This window comes from Homo sapiens, chromosome 8, assembly GCF_000001405.40.
Source record: "Homo sapiens chromosome 8, GRCh38.p14 Primary Assembly".
Taxonomy (NCBI): Eukaryota; Metazoa; Chordata; class Mammalia; order Primates; family Hominidae; genus Homo; species Homo sapiens.
The window spans coordinates 99,013,681-99,040,584 of NC_000008.11; the positions used below are offsets into that span (position 1 = coordinate 99,013,681).

At 38.2% G+C, this 26,904-nt stretch overlaps 1 protein-coding gene across 5 annotated transcripts in view, besides 2 other annotated features; it reads left to right on the plus strand.

Annotated features, from left to right (window-relative positions):
- VPS13B (vacuolar protein sorting 13 homolog B) overlaps window positions 1-26,904 on the plus strand; it is an 864,307-nt gene that overhangs the window by 407 nt on the left and 836,996 nt on the right. For all 5 annotated transcript variants that reach the window (NR_047582.2, NM_152564.5, NM_017890.5 and 2 more), the window contains exons 2-3: window positions 80-255; window positions 24,743-24,886. Coding sequence is in view for 4 of the 5 variants with exons in the window: in NM_152564.5 (NP_689777.3) it covers window positions 109-255; window positions 24,743-24,886 (291 nt within the window). In the remaining variant the exon portion in view is untranslated. The remainder of the gene's footprint in view (window positions 1-79; window positions 256-24,742; window positions 24,887-26,904) is intronic.
- Window positions 107-608: an enhancer, noted in NCBI's record as "H3K4me1 hESC enhancer chr8:100026015-100026516 (GRCh37/hg19 assembly coordinates)". NCBI's record gives its function as "activates a minimal SCP1, AML or CMV promoter by ChIP-STARR-seq in primed H9 embryonic stem cells {active_cell/tissue: H9 hESC(primed)}" and the evidence as "EXISTENCE:reporter gene assay evidence [ECO:0000049][PMID:30033119]".
- Window positions 609-1,108: an enhancer, noted in NCBI's record as "H3K4me1 hESC enhancer chr8:100026517-100027016 (GRCh37/hg19 assembly coordinates)". NCBI's record gives its function as "activates a minimal SCP1, AML or CMV promoter by ChIP-STARR-seq in primed H9 embryonic stem cells {active_cell/tissue: H9 hESC(primed)}" and the evidence as "EXISTENCE:reporter gene assay evidence [ECO:0000049][PMID:30033119]".

Sequence of the window (26,904 nt, forward strand, 5' to 3'; positions counted from 1 at the left end):
CTGCTTTCGGCCTGAGATAACGAACGCTCTTTCCTTCACTCTACCGCCGACTTCTAACGTTTCTGTCTACTCCTTTCAGCTTCCGACTTCGACTCCTTACCTTAAAAGATGCTGGAGTCATATGTAACTCCAATTTTAATGAGCTATGTGAATCGCTACATCAAGAACTTAAAGCCGTCGGATCTACAGCTTTCACTATGGGGTGGAGACGTGGTACTCAGCAAGCTCGAGTTAAAGTTGGATGTGCTGGAACAGGTAAGCTATTTAGCTGTCATTAACTGGAAACAGTTTTCAGCTTGTTTAGACGGTAATCTATTGTTTCCTAAGCTTTGACTTTATGCTGTAAAAACGTAACTTTTCTACTGATGTATTTTGAGCTACCCTGAAACAAGGGGGCTTTATTTTACACTATTTTCTTTTTCTTTCTTTCTTTTTTTTTTTTTTTTTTTTTTTTTGAGATGGAGTCTCGCTTTGTCGCCCAAGCTGGAGTGCAGCTGCGTGATCTCGGCTCACTGCAACCTCCGCCTCCGGGACTCAGGCAGTTCTCCTGCCGTAGCCTCCCTAATAGCTGGGATTACAGGCGCGCACCACCACGCCTGGCTAATTTTTGTATTTTTAGTAGAGACGGGGTTTCACCATGTTGGCCAGGCTGGTCTCGAACTCCTGAGCTTAGGTGATCCGCCCGCCTCAGTCTTCCGAAGTGCTGGGATTATAGGCGTGAGCCACCGCGCCCGGCCTGCATAATTTTTAAAAATAGTTTGTTCCCAGTTTTGGTATATTAGAATGGGATTACTTAAAGTTGCTTTGACAGAAAGACGATTTCATTGTTCATGTCAGAATTGTTCGGTCTACTTACTCAATTTTCAAGCATTATGAATGTGCTAATTTATGTTGTCAAAATTCTGTATGAGCCTGGAAAACATCACATTCTCATTCTCCTTTTTGGGCAATGGAAGGGTTTGAAAGCCAGCAGGAAGGGTGGCTGGCTTGTGGGGGTCGAGGAAAAAAAGACAAAAAAAAAAAAAAAAAAGAGCAGATTCAGATCATGAGGAAAGATGACATTTCCCACGGCATCCTCAGAGTGTTGAGTAGATACATTGAGAATGGCAGTAAAATTGGAAACTTCTTTATTAATCGTTTTAGTTTCTTTTAACATGAGATTTGTCTGATGCAAAAGAACCGTAACTTCAAAGATCACATATTCATTAATTCATTTATTACATTTATTAGTAACATGCCAAGAAATTCTGTTAGGCTTGAGGATCTGTGCAAGCTCAGAAGAGTCAGAGACCAACTGCTTTTTAGGAGATAAGGGAAGACTTAATCTGACAGTGATGGTTATTTATAATTTTTAGTTATAGTCCACAGCCTCTTTTATTACTCTTTTATTAAGTCAATCTAGACTTAGCACTAAGAAATAATACTCCTGGCTGCTTCTTTTTCCTCTTCCCAAGGTTAGTTGAGTGGCTTAATATTTAATATTTTCATTTTATTTTATTTTTTAATGAGCACAAATCCCAAGTGTAACAGCTCAATTTTTTTTTTTTTTTTTTTGAGACGGAGTCTTGCTCTGTTGCCCAGGCTGGAGTGCAGTGGCACGATCTCGGCTCACTGCAAGCTCCATCTCCCGGGTTCATGCCATTCTCCTGACTCAGCCTCCTGAGTAGTTGGGATTACAGGCGCCCGCCACCACGCCTGGCTAATTTTTTGTATTTTTAGTAGAGATGGGGTTTCACCGTGTTAGCCAGGATGGTCTCGATCTCCTGACCTCATGATCCGCCCGCCTCAGCCTCCCAAAGTGCTGGGATTACAGGCATGAGCCACCGCGCCTGGCCAACAGCTCAATTTTAAAATGTTTTACACCTGTGCAACTACTGTCCAATAAAAAAATGGAATGTTTCCAGCACCCCAAAAGGCTCACCTGTTTTTGTAAGTACTCCAGGCCGGGCACGGTGGTTCACGCCTGTAACCCCAGCACTTTGGGAGGCCAAAGCAGGCAGATCATGAGGTCAGGAGTTCGAGACCAGCCTAGCCAACATGGTGAAACCCTGTCTCTACTAAAAATACAAAAAATTAGCTGGGCTTGGTGGCATGTGCCTGTAATCCCAGTTATTTGGGAGACTGAGGCAGGAGAATTGCTTGAACCCGGGAGGTGGAGGTTGCAGTGAGCCGAGATCATGCCACTGCACTCCAGCCTGGGTGACAGAGTGAGACTCCATCTGGGGCAGGGGAACGTACTCCCCACTCCTAAAAGAGGCGACTGGTAATCTGACTTCTGTCAACATAGATAAGTTTTACCTGGTTTTGAACCTCAAAAAAATTGGAATCATTTATGTTTGGCTTTTTTCTTTCAACCTTTCTAAGATTAACCCATGTTGTTAGAAGAGTTTGTTTTTCGTATTGTCAGTACTATTCCATTGCATAAAGATTCCACAATTTACTTACTCATTCTCCTGTTGATGGACACTTGGGTTTTTAATATTTTTGGCTGGTGAAGAAAGCTTCCATAAACATTCCAGTACATCTATCTTGGTAACGTAAGTATTAATTTCTCTTAGGTGTATACCTAGAAGGTAGGCCTGTGTTTAGCCTGTGTTTTCATTTTATATTGCCAAATAGTCTTCCAAAGTGGTTATATCAATTCCAGTCTTACCAACAACTTATAAGCATTCCAGGTATTTCACATTTTTGCTACTACTTGTTATGTTTGTTATTTTAATGTTAGCCTTTCTAGTGGGTGTGTAGTGATAACCTCATTGTAATTTTAACTTGTATTTTCCTAATGACTAATTATGTTTTTATATTCTTATTGGCCATTTAGCTATCTTTTTTTTTTTTTGTGAAGTCTAAGTCTTTTTTCCTTTTTTAAAAATTGAGTTTTCTGTCTTATTGATATATAGGAATTCTTTTTTTTTTTTTTTTTTTTTTTGAGACGGAGTCTCGCTCTGTTGCCCAGGCTGGAGTGCAGTGGTGCGATCTCGGCTCACTGCAAGCTTCACCTCCCAGGTTCACACCATTCTCCTGCCTCAGCCTCCCGAGTAACTGGACTGCAGGCGCCCGCCACCATGCCCGGCTAATTTTTTGTATTTTTAATGGAGACAGGGTTTCACCATGTTAGCCAGGATGGTCTCGATTCCCTGACCTTGTGATCCTCCTGTCTCGGCCTCCCAAAGTGATGGGTTACAGGCATGAGCCACTGCGCCCGGCCAGGAATTCTTTATATATTTTGGAAATGAGTCCTTTGCCAGATAGATGTTTTGCAGTATTTACTCTCAGTTTGTGGCTTGTCTCTTTACTCATAAAGGTGTCTTGATGAATAAAAGTTAATAATCTTACTGAGGTCCAATTTATCAATCTTTTCCCTTGTGGTTAGGGTTTTTCTAGTCTTGTTTAAGAAATCTTAGCTTACACCAACATCGTGAAAATATTCTTTTATATTTCTTTTAGGAGCTTTATTGAATTCCATGATTCATCTCAAATTTTTTTTCTGCATATGAGTAATAGAGGTTAAGGTTAATTTTTTTCCATTGATAGTCAGTTGATCTATACCATTTGTTGAACTCTTCTTTCCCTACTCAATTACAGTAAGCCTTTGCTGTAAATCAGGTTGCCATATGTGTGTGGATTTGTTTCTGAACTCTTTATTCTATTGAGTGGTCTATTTGTCTATTCTTGTGTCACTCCATATGGTTACTGTAGCTTTTATAATAAGACTTGGTTGGTATCTCAGTGTAATTAGTACAACTTTGTTCTTTTCTCCTTCAAGATTGTCATAACTATTTTAGGTCCTTTGTATTTCCATATACATTTTATTTTTTTATTTTTATTTTTTGAGACAGAGTCTTGCTCTGTAGCCCAGGCTGGAGTGCAGTAGTGTGATCTCGGCTCACTGCAACCTCCACCTCCCTGTGGAGCAATTCTCCTGCTGCAGCCTCCGTAGTAGCTGGGATTACAGGTGTGCACCACCACGCCTGGCTAACTTTTGTATTTTTAGTAGAGACGGGGTTTCACCATGTTGGCCAGGCTGGTCTCGAACTCCTGAGCTCAGGTGATCCACCCGCCTTGGCCTCCCAAAGTGCTGGATTACAGGCATGAGCCACCACGCCCAGCCTATCATATACATTTTAATTTCAACTTATAACTTTTAGAATTAATTTCTAAAAAGGAAAGCTGTTAGTGTTTTTTGCTGAGATTACATTGAATCTATCGATCAATTTTGGATGAATTAACATATTAACATTGAGCTGACATAGTTTTGAGTTTTTCAATTCATGTACAGAGCATTGCTTTTCATATTTTTAGGCCTTTAATTTCTCTCAGCAATGTTTTGAACTTTTTAGAGAAATTTTGCATGTATTTCATTAAATTTTACCTCTTTTTATGGATGTTTAAGTAGCATTTTAAAAACCTCTATTTTCTGGTTAGGTGTGGTGGCTCTTGCCTGTAATCAGTCACAGCACTTTGGGAGGCCAAGGTGGGTGGATCACTTGAGGTCAGGAGTTCGAGATCAGCCTAGCCAATATGGCAAAACCTCGTCTCTACTAAAAATACAAAAATTAGCCAGGTGTGGTGGCTCACGCCTGTAATCCCAGCTACTTGGGACGCTGGGGCACAAGAATCACTTGAACTGGGAAGGTGGAGGTTGCAGTAAGCTGAGATTGTGCCACTGGACTCCAGCCTGGGCGACAGAGTGAGACTCTGTCTCAAAAAGCAAACACAAAAAAACCTCTATTTTTAAATAATTTGTTACCAGTACAGGAAATAAAATCAATTTTAGTATGTCGACCTATCCAGTGGCCCAACTTGTCTAACAGTTTTTGGTAGGTTCTTTTGGATTGTCCATGTTCAATCATGTCACCTGCAAATAATGACAGTTTTACATCTTTCTATCCAATACTTGTATCTTTTATTTCATTTCATTTCATTATTGCAGTGGGCTAGGACCTTTTATATAATGTGGAGTAGAGGTCATGAGAATAGACATCCTTTTTTGTTTCTAATTTCAGTGGGAAAGTATTCAATGTTTTACTATTAAGTATGTTGTTAGCTATAAATAACCTTTACTGAGTTGAGATTCTTTTCTATTAATGATTTTCCAATGAGTTTTAAAAAATCATAAATGAATGCTGAATTTGATCAAATATTACACTTAATGAGTTGATATATGATTTTTCTCTTTTATTTTGTTAATGTGGTAAATTACATTGTTTTCAAATCTAAACCTTGCATTCCTGGAATAAACCTGATTATATATTATCTTTTTTACATATTGTTGGATTCAATTTGTTAAATTTTGATTGATTTTGTTGTGTCTTTGCTTATAAGTGATACTAGCCTATGATTTTCCTTTCTCGTAATGTGATTACCTGGTTTTGAATGTCATATATATATATTGGCCTTATTGATTTATTTGTGAGGTATTCCCTCTTTTTATAATCTCTAACAGTTTATGTAAGATCAATGTTAGTGGTTTTTTTAAAATTGTGATAGAATATGTATAATACAACATTTATCATCTTAAACATTTTTTTTTTTTTTTTTTTGAGATAGAGTTTCACTCTTGTTGCCCAGGCTGGAGTGCAGTGGTGCGATCTTGGCTCACTGCAACCTCTACTTCCTGGGTTCAAATGATTTTCCTGCCTCAGCCTCTCAAGCAGCTGGCATTACAGGTGCCCACGACAACACCCGGCTAATTTTTCTGTATTTTTAGTAGCGATTGGGTTTCACCATGTTGGCCAGGCTGATCTCAAACTCCTGACCTCACCCACCTTGGCCTCCCAAAGTGCTGGGCTTACAAGCATGAGCCATCGTGCCTGGCCCATTTTAATCATTTTTAAATGTACGATTCTGTGGTATTACGTATGTTTACATTGTTGTGCAACCATCACTACTACTCATCTCTAGAATATTTTCGTCTTCCCAAACTGAAATTCTGTATCCATTAGACACCAACTCCCTATTTTCCCCTGTTCCCAGCCCCTTGGCAACCACCATTCTACTTTATGACTGTATGAATTTGACTATTTTAAGTACTTCATATAAGTGGAATCATTCAGTGTTTGTTCTTTCGTTATTGGCATATTTCACTTAGCACAATGTCTCAAAAAGCTTATCTATGTTGTAGCATATGCCACTATGTCCTTTGTTTTTATGTCTAAATAATCTATTATATGTACATGCCACATTTTGTTCATTCATTTATTCGTTGATGGATAGTTGGGTTGCTTTCATCTTTTGGCTATAATGCTGATATGAAGGTAGGTGTACAAATATACCTGAGACTGTGCTTTTAATTTATTTGGGTATATACCCAGAAGTGGAATTGCTAGATCACGTGATAATTCTGTGTTTAATTTTTTGAGGAATCACCATACTGTTTTCCACAATGATTGCATTGTTTTACATTCCTACCAGCAATGTGCAAAGGTTCGAAGTGCTCCGTATCGTCACTAACACTTGTTGTTTTACGTGTTTTTTTTTTTTAAATATAGCTATCCTAATGGGTATGAAATGATATCTCAATGTGGTTTTAATTTGCATTTCTCAAATGATTAGTGATGTTGAGCCTCTTCTCATGTACTTATTAGCTATGTTTGTCTTCTTTGGAGAAATGCCTATTTGAGTCCTTTGCCCAATTTTGAATCGGGTTCTTTGTTTTTTGTTGTTGTTGAGTTATAGGAGTTCTTTATGTATTGTGGATATCAATCCCTTAGCAGATACATGATTTGCAGATATTTTCTCACATGCTGTCAGTGGCATCTTACTCTATAATAGTGTCCTTTGATGCACCAAAGTTTTTAATTTTGATGAAGTCCAACTTAGCTATTTCTCTCATTCATTGTCTGGATTTTTGCTGTCATATCCAAGAAATCATTGTCAAATCTAATGTCATGAAGGTTTTCTCCTATGTTTTCTTCTAATTTTTTTGTTCTTACATAGTATAAGGTAGTGTTGCAACCTTTCTCTCTTTTTTTAAAATGTGGATATTCAGTTTTCCTAACACCATTTGTTGACATCTGTACTTTCACATTGAATGGTCTTGGTTCCTTTGTCAAAAATCATTTGACCATAGATGTGAGAGTTTATTTCTGGGCTCTCAATCCTATTCCATTGAGTAATATGTCTGCCTTTATGATACTATCACACTGTTTGGATTATTGTAGCATCGTAGTGAGTTTCAGAATCAGGAAGTGTGAGATCACCAACTTCTCAGTTTTTTAAGTGTTAGGAAGAATTAAACATGAAGTCATCTGGGTAATGATGTAAAGTTATAAACTGCTGATTTAATTTAAGACATATAGGATCATTTAGACTTTTATTTCTGGTGTTGTCAGTTTTGGTGAGTTGTATCTTTCAAGGAATTTCCCTATTTCTTGAAAATTAGGGATCAGCAAACTGTGTCCTGGGCCTGCTTTTGTAAATACAGTTTTATTGAAACATAGCTATTCATTTTGTTTATTGTCTATGGCTGCTTTCGCCCTAAAACAGAAGGATTAAGTAGCTAGGACAGAGATTGAGTGGCTTGCAAAAGCCTAAAGTATTTACTGTCTCCCTCTGTACTGAAAAAGTTTGCTGTCCTGCTCTAAATCGTTATATGTAAGGAATAAAGTTGGTTTTTTTGTTGTTTACTTTTTAATTTTTTGAGCCAAAGTCTCACTGTGGCTGGGCACGGTGGCTCATGCCTGTAATCCCGGCACTTTGGGAGGCCGAGGCGGGTGGATCACGATGTCAGGAGTTCGAGACCAGCCTGACCAAACTGGTGAAACCCTGTCTCTACTAAAAATACAAAAATTAGCTGGGTGTGGTGGCGGGCGCCTGTAATCCCAGCTACTCAGGAGGCTGAGGCAGGAGAATTGCTTGAACCCAGGAGGCGGAGGTTGCAGTGTGCCGAGATCATGCCACTGCACTCCAGCCTGGGCAACAAAGCAAGACTCCATCTCAAAAAAAAAACAAAAACACAAAAAAACAAAGTCTCACTCTGTTGCACAGGCTGGAGTGCAGTGGCATGATCATAGCTCACTGCAGTCTTGACCTCCCAGGCTCAAGCTATCTTCCCACCTCTGCCCCCTCTGAGTGCCAGTGCCACCATGCCCGAATAATTTTTATACTTTTTGTAGAGACGAGGTCTCACGATGTTTCCCAGGCCAGTCTCAAACTCCTGGGCTCAAATGATCTTCCAACCTCAGCCTCCCAAAGTGTTGGGATTACAGGCGTGAGCCCCTTATGCCCAGGCTGGTGTTTATTATAAAGCTGCCTGATTTACAAAAATGTATCTATAGGATCTGCTGTGATATCTTCTTTTCATGTCTGATGCTCGTAATTTGTATTTTTTTCATCGATATTGCTAGGGTCTTATTAATTTTATTAATATTTTCAAAGAACTAATTTTTCTTTTTGTTGATTCTTTTTTGAATTGTACTTGTGCTTTCTTTGTCATTTATTTTTGTTCTTATTTTTATAATTTCTTTCACTTTTTTTGGATTTGGTTTACTTTTCTTTTTTCTAGTTTCCTGAGTTGGAAACTTAAGTCATTGCTTTTTTTCAGTCTTTTTCTACTCAAATATATATATATAATGCTATAATTTTTTTCTCTAACCATATATTTAGCACTGTCATGTGGGATTTCATGTTGTCTTTTCATTAAGTTAAAAAAATTTTATAATTTCCATTTTGATTTCTTTAATTATTGGGTTATTATTTGGCTTACTTAGAAGTATATTGCTTAATTTCCAAACATTTAGGAATTTATTAATTATCTTTCTGTTACTGATTTCTAATTTAATTCCACTGTGGTCAGCAGCACATTGTCTGTATGATTTTAATTTATTAAAATGTATAAATATATAGTCTGTTTTTGTAAGTGTTTCATGTGCAATTGATAAAAAGTGTGTATTCTGCACTTGTTGCTGTAGCATTCTGTAAATATCACTTACCAGAAATTGGTCATTAGAGTTCTTCAAATCTTGTAAATCCATATGGATTTTCATTGTTTGCTTATTCTGTCAGTTACTAGATGATGAGGTATGTCTGGAGATATGGAGATTGTGAATTTGTGTATTTCTCATTTTTAGTTTTGTTAGTTTTCACTTTATATATCTTAAAGTTATGTTATTAAGTGTATACAAATTTAGTATCATGAATCTCATTGTTTAATATACTTGAAAAAAATCATTCTGAAAAGTGTCCCTCTTTTTTTTCTTTTTGGTATTGTGGTCCCTCTTTTTCCTTGTTTTGGGTTGGGTTTGATTTTGTTTTTCTACTCTCAAGGTGGACATTTTAGGTTATTGATTTGAGATCTCTCTCTTTTCTTTTCTTTTTTTTTTTCTTTTGGACAAGGCGTTGCCCTGTTGCCCAGGCTAGAGTGCAGTGTTGATCATTGCTCACTGCAGCTTCGACCACATGGGCTCAGGTGATTCTCTTGCCTCAGCCTCCCAAGTAGCTAGGACCACATACATATGCCACCATTAACCATCTCTCCTGCTTGCCCCTCCCACCCCTTCTACCCTTCCCAGCCTGTGGTCCAGCTGTAATTTTGTATCTGTTAATAAACATCTTCCTAGTCCCCATTTTTTCTTTACCTTCCTAGTATCTAGTAACCACTGTTATACTCTCTACTTCTATGATATCAACTTTTTCAGCCCTATGTATGAGAATATGCAATATTTGTCTTTCTGTGCTTGACTTATTTCACATAACATAATGACCTTCATTTCCATTCATGTTGCTGCAAAAGACAAGATTTTTTTTCTGGCATAATAGTATTCCGTTGTGTGTACACACCACATTTTCTTTTCTTTCTTTCTTTTCTTTTTTTTTTTTGAGATGGAGTCTTCTCTGTTGCTCAGGCTGGAGTGCAGTGGCGCAATCTTGGCTCACTGCAACCTCTGCCTCCTGGGTTCAAGCGATTCTTCTGCCTCAGCCTCCCAAGTAGCTGGGACTACAGGTGCACGCCACCACACCTGGCTAATTTTTGTATTTTTAGTAGAGACAGGGTTTCACCATATTGGCCAGGCTGGTCTCGAATGCCTGACCTCGTGATCCGCCTGCCTTGGCCTCCCAAAGTGCTGGGATTACAGGTGTGAGCCACTGCACCCAGCTTATACCACATTTTCTTTATCCATCATTCCTTTGTAGATGGATAGTTAGGTTGATTCCATATCCTTGTATTGTATATAGAGCTGCAATAAACATGGAGGTACAAGATATCTCTGTCATACTAATTTTATTTGTATGTACACCCAGTAGTGGGATTGCTGGATTATATCTAGTTCTATTTTCAGCTTTTTAAGGAACTTTTGTGGTGTTTTTTATAATGGCTGTACTAATATATGTTCCCACCAAAAGTGTGTAAGTGTTCTCTTTTCTTTATATCCTCAGCAGTATTTTGTTTGTTTGTTTGTTTGTTTGGGTAATAGCTATTCTAACTGATATGATACCTTATTGTGGTTTTTATTTCCATTTTCCCTGTGATTAGTGATGTTGAACATTTTTCATATACCTGTTGGCCATTTATGTGTCGCCTTTTGAGAAATGTCTACTCAGAGCAATTGCCTATTTTAAAATTGGAGTCTCTTTGTGCGTGTGTGTGAGAGCGTGTTTGTGTGTGCATGCGCACATGTGTGCTATTGAGTTGTTTGAGTTCCTTGTGTATTATGGATATTAACCTCTTATAAAATACAATAAAATATTTGTCTAGACCAAAGTCCCAAAGCATTTTCTCTTATGTTTTCTTCTAGTAGTTCCATAGTTCCAGGAATTACATTTAAGTCTTTAGTCCATCTTGAGTTGATTTTTGTATATGGTGAGAGATCGGGATCTAGTGTCACTCTTTTGCTTATGGATATCCAGTTTTCATGGCACCATTGATTGGAGAGACTGTCCTTTCCCTAATGTGTGTTCTTCATGCCTTTGTTAAAAATCCATTGGCCATAAATATGTGGGTTTGTTTTTGGTTTTGTTGTTCTGTTCTCCTGGTCTGTATGTCTGTTCTTATGCAAGTACCATGCTGTTTTGATTACTATAGCTTTGTAGTTTATTTTGAAGTCAGAAATTGTGATGCTTGCAGATTTGTTCTTTTGCTCAGAATTGCTTTGGTTATTCAGAGTCTAGTAGCCAAATACAAATTTTATCTTTGCTTGTTATGTATCTGTAAAGAATAGCATTGATAATTTAATAGGAATTGCATTGAATCTGTAGATCTTTTTGGGTCATTTTAACAACAGTTTTTCCAATTCATGAACATGAGATGTCTTTCTAATTTCTTTGTGTCTTCCTCAATTTCTTTCACCAGTGTCCTGTCATTTTTTTTTGTAGAGATCTTTTACCTCCTTGATTAAATTTATTCTAAGGTATTTTATTTTTTGTAGCTATTCGAAATGGGATCACTTTCTTGATTTCTTTTTCAGCTAGTTTGTTATCGTTGTATGGAAACACTACTGATTTTTGTAGATTTTGTATCCTGCAACTTTACTGAATTTATCAGTTCTAAGAGTTTTTTTGATAGAGTCTTTAGGTATTTCTGCATATGAGATCTTGTCTTCTGCAAATAGGGACAGTTTGACTTTTTCTTTTCCAATTTTGATCCCTGTTTCAAAAAATTTTTTTCCCTTGCTTAATTACTCTGGCTGGGACTTCAGTACTATGTTGAATAAGGGTGGTGAAAATGGGCATTTTGTCTTTTTCCAGTTCTTAGAGGAAAAGCTTTTTGGCCCATTCTTGCATTCCTGGGATAAATCCCATTTAATTATGGTGTATAATCATTTTGCTGTGCTATTAGATTTGGTTTGCTAGTATTTTGTTGAGGATTTTGCATCTATGTTCATCAGGCATATTGTCTTGTTTTCTTTTTCTGTTGTTTCCTTGTTTGGTTTTGTTATTAGGGTAATACTGGCCTTGTAGAATGAGTTAGGAAGGATTTTCTATCCTTCAGTTTTTTGGAATAGTTTGAGAAGAATTGGTATTCTTTTTCAAAAGTTTAGTGGAATTCAGTAGTGAAGCCATTCAGTCCCAGGCTTTTCTTTGTTGAGTGATTTTATTACTGATTCAATCTCATTACTCGGTATTGGACTGTTCAGGTTTTCTGTTTCTTCTTGGTTCAATTTTGGTAGATTATATGTGTCCGGGAATTTATTTGTGTTCTCTAGGTATACTAATTTATTGGTGAATACTTGTTCATAATGGTCACTAACGATCCTTTGTATTTCTGTGGTTTGGTCTCTTTTTTTCTTAGTCTGTGTAATAGTTTGCTGATTTTGTTTATCTTTTCAAAAAACCAGCTTTTCATTTTGTTGATCCTTTGTATTGTTTGGTCTCTATTTCATTTATTTTGTTCTGATCCTCATAATATCTTTCCTTCTACTAATTTTGTGTTTGTTTTGTTCTTGCTTTTCTAGGTCCTTGACATGCATTGTTAGGTTGTTTATTTGAAATCTTTCAACTTCTTGATACAACTGTTTAATGCTAAAAACTGTTTGTACTGTTTTTGCTATATTCCGTAGGATTTGCTATGTTGTATTTCTATTTTCATTTGTTTCAAGAAATTTTAAAATTTCTTGTTTAATTTTTTATTGATCCATTGGTTGTTCAAGAACATGCTGTTTAATTTTCGTGTATTTGTACAGTTTCCAAAGTGTACTTGTTACTGATTTTTAGTTTTATTCTATTGTGGTTAGAAAAGAAACTTGATATGACTTGGACTTTTAAAATTTTTGGAGAATTTTTTTGTGTGCTAATGGCAAGAATGTATCCCGCAGCTGTTGTTCTGTAAATATCTGTTAGGTCTATTTGGTCTAAAGTGCAATTGAAATTTGATATTTTTGGCTGATTTTCTGCCAGCGATCTGTTCAATGCTATGAGTGGGGTGTTCAAGTCCCCAACTATTATTGTAATGGAGTCTATCTCTCTCTTTAGATCTAATAATATTTGCTTTATCTATCTGAGTGTTCTAGTAGTGAGTGTGTATATATTTATAGTTGTTATAGATGCTTGCCAAATTGACTTCATTATTATTATATGATGACCTTCTTTGTCTCCTTATATAGTTTGTGACTTAAAGTGTATTTTTTCTGATATAAGGATAACTACTCCTATTCATTTTTGGTGGAACTTTTTTCATTTTTTCATTTTAAGTTTATGTGTATGTTTACAGAAGTGAGTTTCTTATAGGCAGCATATAGTTGGGTCTTGTTTTATTTATTTTTTTTTTCCCCCGCTCCGAGACGGAGTCTCACTCTGTCACCCAGGCTGGAGTGCAGCGGTGCAATCTTGGCTCACTGCAAACTCTGCCTCCCAGGTTCAAGTGATTCTCCCGCCTCAGCCTCCTAAATTGCTGGGATTACAGGCACCCAACATCATGCCCAGCTAATTTTTGTATTTTTATGGAGATGGGGTTTCACCACGTTGGCCAGGCTGGTCTTAAAACTCCTGATCTCAGGTGATCTACCTGCCTCGGCCTCCCAAAATGCTGGGAGTACATGTGTGAGCCACTGTGGCCAGCCAGGTCTTGGTTTTGGTAATCCATTCATCCAGTTTATAGCTTTTAATTGAGGATTATAGTTTTTAATTTGGGGTTTTTATTTGTTTACATTCAAGGTTATTATTGATAGGTGAGGAATTTCTGTTGTCATTTTGCTAATTGCCTTTTTTTTTTTAAATATATATCCATTCTTCCTTCCTTACTTTCCTATTGTTTATCTTTGCAGTTTGGTGGTTTCTGTGGTGATAAGTTTTACTTCTCTTTCTCATTTGTGAATCTGCTTCATCAGTGAGATTGACACTTCTTCATGTTTTCATGATGGTAGTTATAGTCTGTTCGCTTTCAGTTCTAGGATTCCCTTAATCATTTCTTCTACATCTAGTCTAGTGGTGATAAATTACCTCATTTTTTGCTTCTCTGGGAGATTTTAGTTTTCCTTCATTTCTGAAGGGTAGTTTTACTAGATATGGTAATCTTGGCTCACAGTTTGTTTTCTTTCATCATTTTGAATATGGCATCCCATTGTCTCTTGGCCTATGTTTCTGCTGAGAAATCTGCTGTTAGTTTTTTTTATTTTTTTATTTTTTTATTTTTTATTTTTATTTTTATTGATCATTCTTGGGTGTTTCTCGCAGAGGGGGATTTGGCAGGGTCATAGGACAATAGTGGAGGGAAGGTCAGCAGATAAACAAGTGAACAAAGGTCTCTGGTTTTCCTAGGCAGAGGACCCTGCGGCCTTCCGCAGTGTTTGTGTCCCTGGGTACTTAAGATTAGGGAGTGGTGATGACTCTTAACAAAGCACATCTTGCACCGCCCTTAATCCATTTAACCCTGAGTGGACACAGCACATGTTTCAGAGAGCACAGGGTTGGGGGTAAGATCACAGATCAACAGGATCCCAAGGCAGAAGAATTTTTCTTAGTACAGAACAAAATGAAAAGTCTCCCATGTCTACTTCTCTCCACACAGACCCGGCAACCATCCGATTTCTCAATCTTTTCCCCACCCTTCCCGCCTTTCTATTCCACAAAACCGCCATTGTCATCATGACCCATCCCCAATGAGCCGCTGGGCACACCTCCCAGACGGGGTCGTGGCCGGGCAGAGGGGCTCCTCACTTCCCAGTAGGGGCAGCCGGGCAGAGGTGCCCCTCACCTCCCGGACGGGGCGGCTGGCCGGGCAGGGGGCTGACCCCCCCACCTCCCTCCCGGATGGGGCGGCTGGCCGGGCGGGGGGCTGACCCCCCCCACCTCCCTCCCGGACGGGGCGGCTGGCGGGGCAGAGGGGCTCCTCACTTCCCAGTAGGGGCGGCTGGGCAGAGGAGCCCCTCACCTCCTGGATGGGGCGGCTGGCCGGGCGGGGGGCTGACCCCCCCCCCCACCTCCCTCCCGGACGGGGCGGCTGGCCGGGCAGGGGGCTGACCCCCCTCCCCCCTCCCGGACGGGGCAGCTGGCCGGGCGGGGGGCTGACCCCCCCCACCTCCCTCCCGGACGGGGTGGCTGGCCAGGTGGGGGGCTGACCCCCCCACCTCCCTCCCGGACGGGGCGGCTGGCCGGGTGGGGGGCTGACCCCCCCACCTCCCTCCTGGACGGGGCAACTGGCCGGGCAGAGGGGCTCCTCACTTCCCAGTAGGGGCGGCCGGGCAGAGGAGCCCCTCACCTCCCAGATGGGGCGGCTGGCCGGGCGGGGGGCTGACCCCTTAAGTTAGCGCTTATGGGGGCTGACCCCCCCCACCTCCCTCCCGGACGGGGTGGCTGCCGGGCGGAGACGCTCCTCACTTCCCAGACGGGGTGGCTGCCGGACGGAGGGGCTCCTCACTTCTCAGACGGGGCGGCTGCCGGGCGGAGGGGCTCCTCACTTCTCAGACGGGGTGGTTGCCAGGCAGAGGGTTTCCTCACTTCTCAGACGGGGCGGCCGGGCAGAGACGCTCCTCACCTCCCAGACAGGGTTGCGGCCGGGCAGAGGCGCTCCTCACATCCCAGACAGGGCGGCGGGGCAGAGGTGCTCCCCACATCTCAGACGATGGGCGGCCGGGCAGAAACGCTCCTCACTTCCTAGATGGGATGGCGGCGGGGAAGAGGCGCTCCTCGCTTCCTAGATGGGATGGCGGCCGGGCAGAGACGCTCCTCACTTTCCAGACTGGGCAGCCAGGCAGAGGGCTCCTCACATCCCAGACGATGGGCGGCCAGGCAGAGACGCTCCTCACTTCCCAGACGGGGTGGCGGCCGGGCAGAGGCTGCAATCTCGGCTCTTTGGGAGGCCAAGGCAGGCGGCTGGGAGGTGGTTGTAGCGAGCCGAGATCACGCCACTGCACTCCAGCCTGGGCACCATTGAGCACTGAGTGAACGAGACTCCGTCTGCAATCCCGGCACCTTGGGAGGCCGAGGCTGGTGGATCACTCGCGGTTAGGAGCTGGAGACCAGCCCGGCCAACACAGCAAAACCCTGTCTCCACCAAAAAAAAAAACGAAAACCAGTCAGGTGTGGCGGCGCGCGCCTGCAATCGCAGGCACTCGGCAGGCTGAGGCAGGAGAATCAGGCAGGGATTTTGCAGTGAGCCGAGATGGCAGCAGTACAGTCCAGCTTTGGCTCGGCATCAGAGGGAGACCGTGGAAGGAGACCGTGGAAAGAGGGAGAGGGAGAGGGAGAGGGAGACGGAGAGGGAGAGGGAGAGGGAGAGGGAGAGGGCTGTTAGTTTTATGGAGAGTCCCTGGTATGTTACTTCACACTTTTCCTATTTTTAAAATTCTCTTTGTGTTTGAATTTTGACAGTTTCACTATAATGTTCATCTTTTCTCAGTTTGACTATAATGTATCCTGAGAGGACCTTTTTGGGTTGAGTCTATTTGGGAAACTTTGAGCTTCCTGGACCTGGATGTTTATATTTCTTCCGTGACTTGAGATGTTTTCAGCAATTATTTATTTAAATAGGTTTTATATGCTTTGTCTGTTCTCTTCTTCTGGATCTCCAAAAATACATGCTTTTTTTTTTTTTTTTTTTTACTTAATAGTATCCCATAGGCCCTGTAGGCGTTCTTCTCATTCTTTTTAATTATCTGTTTTTTTTGTTTTTTTTTTTCGGCTAACCTGGGTACAGCAGGACCTCAAAATAATGTTCAGCGTTGTTTAGTTATAATGTTGCTGAGACAAAAATGATTTCTGGTTAGGACCTCTGTCTTTATGGAGTTTGCTTGTTCTCCCCATGTCTGCATGGGTTTTCTCCGGATACTCTGGTTTCCTTCTGCTTCCCAAAGATGTGAATGTTTGGTTAACTGGTATGTCTAAATTGTCCCAGTATGAGTGAGTGAGTGTGTGTGTGTGTGTGTGTGTGTGTGTGTACCATGATGTAATGGTGTCCTGTCCAGAACTGGTTTCCACTTTTTACCCTGAGTGTCTGGATAGGCTTCAGCCACCTGTGACACTGAACTGGAATAAGCAGGTTGGAAAATGAATGATCACGTTACTATAAAATAAAAATGCGTAAAGTATATGATAATCATACAAATGCACAATATATTATGCGTTCAGAAAGCACTCAGTGATCTCACCATATTCATTGTTTTTTTAACTGTGTGGCATTAGAGGATGCTCGTTTTCACTTTGCAAACATTTATTTCATGATTTCATTCATAACCATTGTGACTTCTGTCATTCGCCAATTCATAAATTTGGTAAATATTTATTAATCTTAATTTTATTAATTTAGTAGTGTACTAATTTGATACTAATTTAATAATTTCATTAATCTTTCTTAAATGTACATATAACCTACATCTATTTCAGTATTTGATATTAGAAGTGGTTTGACTCTTTACAATATTGGTGATGTTTTTGTGACTAGACGTAGGCTGTAGGAACTTTTGTTTATATCAGTTAGCCTAGGTAAAATTAGTTTTGTTACATGTTGTTTCATTTAAATCACAGTTTCCAAGAACCCACTGATGATGTCAGGTGAAGATTTCCTGTATTTCAAAAGACTTATGTTCAAGTTCACAAATTCTTCTGCTTGATCTAGTGTATTGCCGAAGCTTTCAATTGTATTTTTTAATTTTATTCACTGACTTCTTCAATGCCAAGATTTCTGTTTGGTTCTTTTTTATGGCATATATCTGTTCGTTGAATTTCTCATTCAGATCATGAATTGTTTTTCTGATTTTGTTGAATTAACTATCTGTATTCTTTTGTATTTCACTGAGTTTCCTTAAGAAATTACTGTGAATTCTTTTCAGGTATTTTATAGGTTTGTCTTCCTTGGGGTATGTTATTAGAGAATTACTGTATTCCTTTGAGGTGTCATGTTTCCATGCCTTTTCGTGTTTCTTGTGTCCCTAGCTTGATATCTGTTTATCTAGAGGAACAACCACCTCTTCCAATTTTATGAAGTAGTTTTCGTAGGAAAAAACTTTTTCCTGTAGATTTGACTTACAGTACTGGTTGAGTAGGGTGTTTAGGCTTTTTTCCTCATTGGGTGCAGTAGTGTAATTTCTATGTGATTTCTTCACCCGTCATCAATATCAGCATTTTCTGTGAGTGCCTCAGTGGGCTAGATTGTGGGTGTTTGTGGAGGCAGTGGTGTGGCTTTGCTTGGGGTGAGGAATGCTAGGCAGGCTGGTCCTTAGTCCCTGAGAAATGGCTGCTATTTCTCAGCTGCCATTTTCTGATTACAGTGTCCAAGGGATGTAGAGATGCCAGGGCTATTGAGCCCCAAGGCAGAATGCACTCCAGCAGTTGCTTCATTCTCCAAATGATATAGTACTGCAGCAACTTGGATCCTGAGGAATTCAGTGGATCAAATGCGAATTCTCTCTTTGGAGCAATCCAGCCTTATGGACCTCAGGTAGCTCCCTATACTGGACTCAGGGCTTGTGAGGACTGTGGAACTGCCCTGTAGCTTGGATTGCAAGTATCCACAGTGGTCATGGGGACTGCTGAGGATGTCTTGCTTAACTTTTCTCGTCAATAGGGAGTCCCTTCTGGCTCCAGGCTGATCTTGGCCAGGTGCTCTCCTTTCCCCTTTATGCTGACATGTGGAGTTTCTGTACCTCAGAAGATCTTCATTACTTCCTGATGAGTTCCATTGTTCTCCCATAGACACTAAACTCAAACTGCTCTATTTGTTGTTTTGGTTTTTCTTTGTGGAGGAGATGAACATTGGGTACCATTTTGATTGAAGTTTTTAATCTGTTCACTTCTAATTTTTATTCATATGATTGGATTTACATTTATCATTTTGCTATTATTTTCTGTGTGCCTCATGTCTTTTTTGTTCCTCTGATATTTATTAATTTCTTTTGTAATAAATTGATATTTTTGATGTTCTATTTTAATTCCTTTATTGATTTTCAAATTGCTTTTGAATTACTTTCTTTCTTTCTTTTCTTTTTTTTTTTTTTTGAGACAGAGTCTCGCTCTGTTACCCAGGCTGGAGTGCAGTGGCGCGATCTCAACTCACTGTAAGCTCCGCCTCCCGGGTTCACGCCATTCTCCTGCCTCAGCCTCCCGAGTAGCTGGAACTATAGGTGCTCACCACCATGTCGGGCTATTTTTGTTTTTTTTTTTTGTATTTTTAGTGGAGACAGGGTTTTACGATGTTAGCCAGGATGGTCTCGATCTCCTGACCTCGTGATCCACCTGCCTCAGCCTCCCAAAGTGCTGAGATTACAGGTGTGAGCCACTGCGCCTGGCCCGAATTATTTTCTTTGTGATTGCTTGGGGGATTATAATATGCATCTGATTTACTGCAAACTAGTTGAGATTATTGATAACTTTATTCCATTAAAATAGAGAACATTTCTCTACTATAGCTCCATTTTCTTCTGCTGCTTGTGCTGTTATTGTCACATATATTGCATCTTGTTAAAAGTTCAACTATACAATTTTATCATTATTGTTTTATGCAATTTCCTTTTAAACCAGAAGAACAAAGGAGAAAAAAGCATTTATACTGTCCTTTACTAGTCACCAACATAATTACCTGTATCGTTTTGTTGTGTGAATTTGTTGTGTGAAGTAGCTGTTGCTACTTCCTTTCAGCCTAATGAACTTCCTTTAATATTCTGCTAGGAATCAATTATCTTATTCTTTATTTGAGTATATTTTAATTTGCTTGCATTATTGAAGGATAATTTTGCTGGATATAGAATTCTTGGAGAAATTAGGTGTTAATCTACTAAAAGTTTCCTTGTACCTGAAAAATTATTTTTGTCTTTCTGCTCTCAATATCTATATATTTTTTGTCCCTGGCTTTCTGCAGTTTGACTATGATATATTTGGATTTGAATTCACTGATTCTTTTGCCAATTCAAATCTGCTGCTGAGCCCTTCTAGTGAATTTTTTATTTTGTTGATTGTACTTTCAACTCCAAAATTTTCATTTTTTTTGTAATTTGTTTTTATTGACATTTTCTAATTGATGAATCACTGTTGTCATATGTTTCTTTAATTATTTGAATATGAGGCTGGGTGCGGTGGCTCACACCTGTCTGTAATCCCAGCACTTTGGGAGGCTGAGGTGGGTGGATCACTTGAGGTCAGGAGTTCAAGACCAGCCTGACCATCATGGTGAAACCGCATCTCTACTAAAAATACAAAAATTAGCTGGGTGTGGTGGTGGGTGCCTGTAATCTCAGCTATTCGGGAGGCTGAGGCAGGAAAATCATTTGAACCCGGGAGGCAGAGGTTGCAGTGAGCCAAGATCATGCCATTGCACTCCAGCCTGGGTGACAGGGTGAGACTCCATCTCAAAAAAAAAAATTATTTGTATATGGTTTCCCTTATTTCTTTGAACATATTTGGAATTGATGTTTTGAAGTCTTTGTGTACCAAGTCCTGTATTTGATCTCCTTCACAGATAGTTTGTTTCTATTGACTATTTTTATTTCTGTACACTTTGCATGTGTCATAGTTGTTTGTTGTAAATTGGACATTTTGTGTAATATATTGCAGCAGCTTTGGATTTTGATTTCTTCTCCCCCAGGAGATGGTTGTTGTTTCAGGATTATTTGTTTATTGACTTGCCTCGACTAATTTTGTGATGTCTGTTTCGTGTGCCTTCTGATTTCTCTGCTCATTAAAACAAATTCTCTTTTCTATTTTTAAGCCTGGCATTCTAGGAATTTCGCTGGGTTACTATAACTTAGTCATCAGCCAGTGATTGTTTGGAGGTTGTTTAAACCTTTGAGCTAGTTAGGTATTTACTCTTTGGCATGGGATATATACATTTATTGGGTAATACTTTCAAAGTCAGGAGATTATAAGTCTGTTTTTTTTTTTTTTAAATTCTCTATGTTCATGAGGCCTCATGGTTAACTCGAAATGAGTAGCTTGCTAGTTACTGCCCTCTCTTTGTGGTTGCTTAGGGGATTATATCTGTGTATCTGGTGGAACAACAGATATACAGTCTTCTGAGTAAGTACTATCTTGCACATGCATACAACTTTCTAGACTACCAGTAATATATATGTGAGACCCTGGCAAGACCCTGTTGGGCTATATCATTTTCCAGATTTCTCTGTTAATTTTTGGGCTGGTTTGCTGTTTTGTTGCCTGACCCAAATTGTATTGTGACCCTATGCTAGCCTTACTCTTATTGCTGCTGAGCTGTCTGTTGTTTTTGACAACTTTGTCCTGTTTTGTCATTGCTTTTTGGGGAGAGGATTTGCCGAGCTCCTCATTCAGCACTCTTGAAGTCTTGTCGCATGCGCGCGCGTGTGTGTGTGTTCCTGTAGTAACAAACATGTGACATAAAATTTGTCATTGAGACTGGGCATGGTAGCTCGTGCCTGCAATCCCAGCACTTTGAGAGGCTGAGATGGGAGGCTAGCTTGAAGCCCAGGAGTTGAAGACAAGACTGGGCAACATAGTGAGACTCATCTGTGCCAAAAATTAAAAAAATTGGTTGGGCGTGGTGACGTGCATATAATCCTAGCTACTTGGCATGCTGAGGTGGGAGAGCCCAGGAGTTTGAGGTTTCAGTGAGCTGATTGTGCCACTGCACTCCAGCCTGGGTGACAGAGTTAGACCTTGTTTCTTAAAGAGAAATGACCATCTTAAGCACTTTTAAGTGTATACTATATTACTATTAATTATATGCACATCCTTGTGTAGCAGATCTTCAGAACTTTTTTGTCTTGTAAAACTGAAACTCTCTATCTATTGAACCAATGACTCCCTTTTTACCTTTCCCCTGCCCCAGCCCTTGACAACCACCAGTCTACTTTCTAAGAGTCTGACAATGTTAGATACCTTATATATGTGGAATCATACAGTATTTATCTTTTCGTAACTGGCTTATTTTATTTACCATAATGTCCTCATGTTTCATCCATGTTGTGGTATATTATGGGATTGGCTTATTTTTTTAAGGCTGAATAATATCCCATTGTATGTGTGTATTACATTTTGCTTATCCATTCATCCTAAAATGAGTATTAGAGTTGCTTTTACTTTACAGCTATTGTGATTAATGCTGCTTTGAACATGGGTGTGTGAATATCTCCTTAAGATTTTCTTTTAAATTATTTTGGGTATATACCCAGAATTGGGGTTTCTGGATCATTGTAATTCTGTTTTTGATTTGTTGAGGAACCTCCATATTATGTTCTGTAGCAGTTGTACCATTTTATGTTTCCACTAAGAGTGTATAAGTATTCCATTTTCTCAACACTTACTATGTTTTTGATAATGGCCATTGTTATGGCTGAGAGATATCTCATTGTGGTTTTTTTATTTGTATTTCCCTAATGAGTAGTTATGCTGAGCTTCTTTTCATATACTTATTGGCCATTTGTATATCTTTTTTGTGGACATGGCTTCAATTCCTTTGTCCATTTTAAAATAGAATTATTGTTATTTTGTTGTTGATTAGTCATAGGACTTGTTTATATATTCTAGATATTAGTACCTTATCAGATAGATGGTTTGCAAATATTTTTGTCCATTTCATAGGTTGTCTTTTTTACTCTTTTTCCTTTGTTGTGCAGAAGTTTTAAAATTTGATGTCTCATTTTTCTATTTTTGCTTTTGTTGCCTGTTATGTTCATTTTAAAAGTATCCCTTTTCTCTGTTATTTTATAATACCTTACCTAGAATTAGATTTTTGAGATATATTCAACTCTGTTCTGAAATTCTTTGCTACTAATATCCTTTGCATTATCATAGATGTTCTGATTTTAGGGATGCATTTTACATGATGTATTAACTAAAAGTTATACATAAATAAAGTATTTTTAAGTTGTAGACATATATTTCAAGAAGGGAAAAGAATGAAAAGAAAATTCCTTTTTTGGTTATCTTAAGGAAGATCCATTTGTTATAACAATCATCATTTGTGTTTCACCTTTTACTATATATGTATGTTGTTTATTTTTCCTTCCTCTGTGATTTTGAAATTGAAACTATCTTGCTTATAGTCAGATCATATGGCTCAAAATTCCATGTTCTAATCCAGAAAGCCACCTCTTGTGTTACTGTTTGGTTAGTAGCATTCTGATGATACTAAGTTCTTGAGTTTGATTCAGGTGTCTTTAAACATTTGTACTCTGAGAACTCTGAGACAATCTGATTTATGCCCTTAGACTGCAACTTTGGTAGCCATTTTGCAAATATATCATTGTTACACAAGGCGTAGGGTGGTAGAGGTGGAATTGTAATGTGCTCATTGTCCAGTTAGATAGATAAATAGCCAGTGGAAACATTTTCAGTGCTGATAATGGAAGTATAGAGGCAGTATTATAGTGGTTAATTGCCATGGCTGTGGAATAATATTTCTTAATTTTGAGTCCAGGCTCTCCTAGATGACTCGTTTTGGGAAGATTCCTGACCCTTCATGTCTCAGATTCTTCATTGTAAAATGGGGATAATGCTATTTACATTTTGTGATTCTTAGGAGGAGTAAATGATTGTATACGAGTAAGGTGCTTAGAATAGCGCCTGGTACATACTCAGTGCTTATTGCTTTTGTTACAGGCACTGATCAATATATAATCTTGTGCTAGCTGAACAATGCTTGAAGAAATTAATGCATTTTAAAAATACTGTGATAATGACAAATATCTAAAAATTGTAACATTCCATTAGCATAGAGTACTAACAATAGACTTAATAGCTGACCTTTAAAAAAAAACCCTCTGGTTGAAGAAACAAATTAGGCCCACACTTTTGTAATAATAATAATAATAATAAGCACCTTTATAATGATTTCTCTGTGAGGAAGGTAGTATTCTAAGCTTTATATAGATTAATATAATATTCAAAATGTAGTCTTTTTATACAAATTTTACAGATAATGAAACTGAGGCACAGATACAATAAACTGTCTGCTGGCTGCAGAGTTATTGGTCTTAATCACTTTGCTATACTGTCTGTATTTAGGCATATTGTTACTGTGTTGCTGAACCAACTAGGTAGACTAAAATGTGAATGAATAAGCTTAATATTTTTATTAACTTTCACAAATAGAGTTACAATAACTAAAAATGTGATAGAAATACATTTTTTTCTTCCTCCTTTGTTGATTTGTAAACAAATTATATCTAGAAGTGAGACAAATGAGCATAAAGCAATTTTGGTGACATTTTTCATGCCTAACCTTTTATCTAATGATAATGAAAAGCAGTCAGAAAACATTTAAAATTTATGACCAAGTAGTATCCAGTTCAATTTTACATTAGGTGAAGTGGAATACTTTTTTTTTTTTTTTTTAAGTTGATCAGTTTTCATTTTGTCAGGTTATTTTCAAATCTCCAATTGAGCTCCCCTTTCAACTTGACTTAGAATACTGTTCTATTAGTTTAAAATATATTTTGAAGACATATTTTTAGATGGAGACTTAAAAAATTACATCATTTCAGTTATTTGAAGTACTGCTGCTATATACTGTTGCACTATCATATATCAGCCTTCATCATGTACTGAGTATTATATATTATTTCCATTCAGCAAAGTAGGAGACAGGCCTAGAGTGCTTAAGGAACTTATTAAATGTAACTTGTACCATAAATTATTGTTATTTATCATTAACTATGGCCTAACAAGGTATTTGATGCTACTTTTTGATAAACAGTAATTCTGAAAATATTTTTGTGTTGGACATTTTATTTCTCTTTTAAGAAAGGAATTTGTATATTAGAATGAAAAATATTAAGCACTAAACAATAAGTCTCTGAATATTCTTGTGTTGGAAATTTTATTTTTTAAAAAAGAAATTTGCATATTATAATAAAAAATATTAAGCACTTACTAATTTTTATGTAATGTTTTGTGTTTTAAGGAACTGAAATTACCATTCACTTTTTTAAGTGGACATATTCATGAATTGAGGATTCATGTACCATGGACAAAACTGGGTTCAGAACCAGTGGTAATTACCATCAATACTATGGAATGCATTTTGAAACTTAAGGATGGGATACAGGTAAGAAATTATTGAACCAAGTTGTTTATGTTAACTAATTTTAGTAGTATTTGACATTTCTTTACCTTTTCAAATATGCCAACTGTTACATAAACATATCTTAGCTTATATACTTTTTTTTTTTTTTTTTTTTTTTTTTGAGATAGAGTCTTGCTCTGTTGCCAGGCTGGAGTGCAGTGGTGCGATCTCGGCTCACTGCAACCTCCTCCTCCTGGGTTCAAGTGATTTTCCTGCCTCAGCCTCCTGAGTAGCTGGGACTACAGGTGTGCGCCACCACGCCCAGCTAATTTTTATATTTTTAGTAGAGAAGGGGTTTCACTATGTTGGCCAGGATGGTCTTGATCTCTTGACCTCGTGATCTGCCCACCTTGGCCTCCCAAAGTACTGGGATTATAGGCATGAGCCACTGTGCCTGGCCTTTAATTTGTATATGCCTGTTTAAGTGACATGACTATTTGCAAAGTCATTTTTAAATTTGAATAAAGTATGTAAAGGTTGTTTTCATACAGATTTTACTTTGTCATAGCTCTACTAGGGACCATGCAGATTGCTTATTACTTACATCTACAATGAAAGTGCAGCCTAATTGTGTCCGATTTTTACATTAACATTTTTAGATTTTTGCAAAGGACCTGTATGTATTTTTTCTTTACATAATTTTTCTAAATCTGAAGGGAATTTCTCAGGTTATTTTTTGGGAAGATGAAAATATATTTACACCAAATTTTATAATTGTTTTTGAAGTTTTGGTATAAGAAACTGATTTTTTCTTTTTTCAGATTTATTTATTTCTTCTCTGACCCATCTTACATTTCTTGCTAGTGTTTTTTTGCAGATGTAATATTGGTTTTAAAGAGTTTCTACCAAAAATTTTCCAATCTAGGAAAGCAAAATAGGTCAGGACCATAGCTTATTGTGGAGAATGTTTCCACTTTCACCTTGCAGAAGAGTAGTGTGTCTGTCATTCATTTTTATTAGGTTTTTTTTTTTTTTTAGCACCCACTTAATATTTAACTTTTAGTTTTAAGGAAGATTGGCTATAATCAAGTAAATTGATAAGTATTATTAAAATGACTTCATATGAATCTGTAAGTTTAACGTATTCTAAATGTAACTTTAATCTTTGTGAAGTTAGGGTTATGTATGAACTGTTAAAATTATTTCCTATTTTAAGTGGATGCTTTGAGTGCCATATCAACCCAGTGGACTCAGATCTTTTTTCCATTTATGAAATCTTTGATTCCAAACACGTATTATCCAATTTAACTTAATATAGTTTCTAGAAGTTAATAGACCAATGTTATATTCTCATGAAAATGAAAAGTTACTTTGTGAACTTCTAATATTTGAGAGATTAATTTAGAAATCTGTGGATAGTTACATTACAACAAAGTTTTACTTTCCATTTATAGTTGGTAATACTTAAATGTTAAGTGGTTCTTAATTATTATCTTTTCTTGGAATTTATTTTTTTTCAAAGTCTGGACTTGGTTATACCACCCATGCAGTGTTCCATATTAAAAGAGAAAAAAAAAATCCAGACACTTAAGTACTTTTTTCATTGAGAAGGTAGAAGTTTCAAGGCCAGATGTCCCTTAAGAAACATGTTTTAACAGAGGCAAATTACAACTAATTATAGAGGCTGCAGAAAAAGACTTGTAACACATGACTTAGTGCAACCTAGAACTAATACTTGATATTGGACTATGCAGATGGCTACTGCAGGAATGATCAGATTTCCTGCTTGCATGGTATTTGGGACTTGAATTTTGTGGTTTGTACAGCAAAAGGTTAAATGTCATGAATGTAAACCACTCTCAAAACAAGTATTTTTTACAGATGTTTAAAATTTTGGGTTAGAAAGGATTTTTGAAAATTGCAGTTGACATTTGGACAAATTATTTAGCAGTGTACACCTCTGGAGAGTAATGCTTGGGTTTATGCTAGTGATTGGAATTAAATTTTGCGTAAAAACATTGTAGATGAAACAGATTTTAAAATAGTTTATTTTCCTGTTT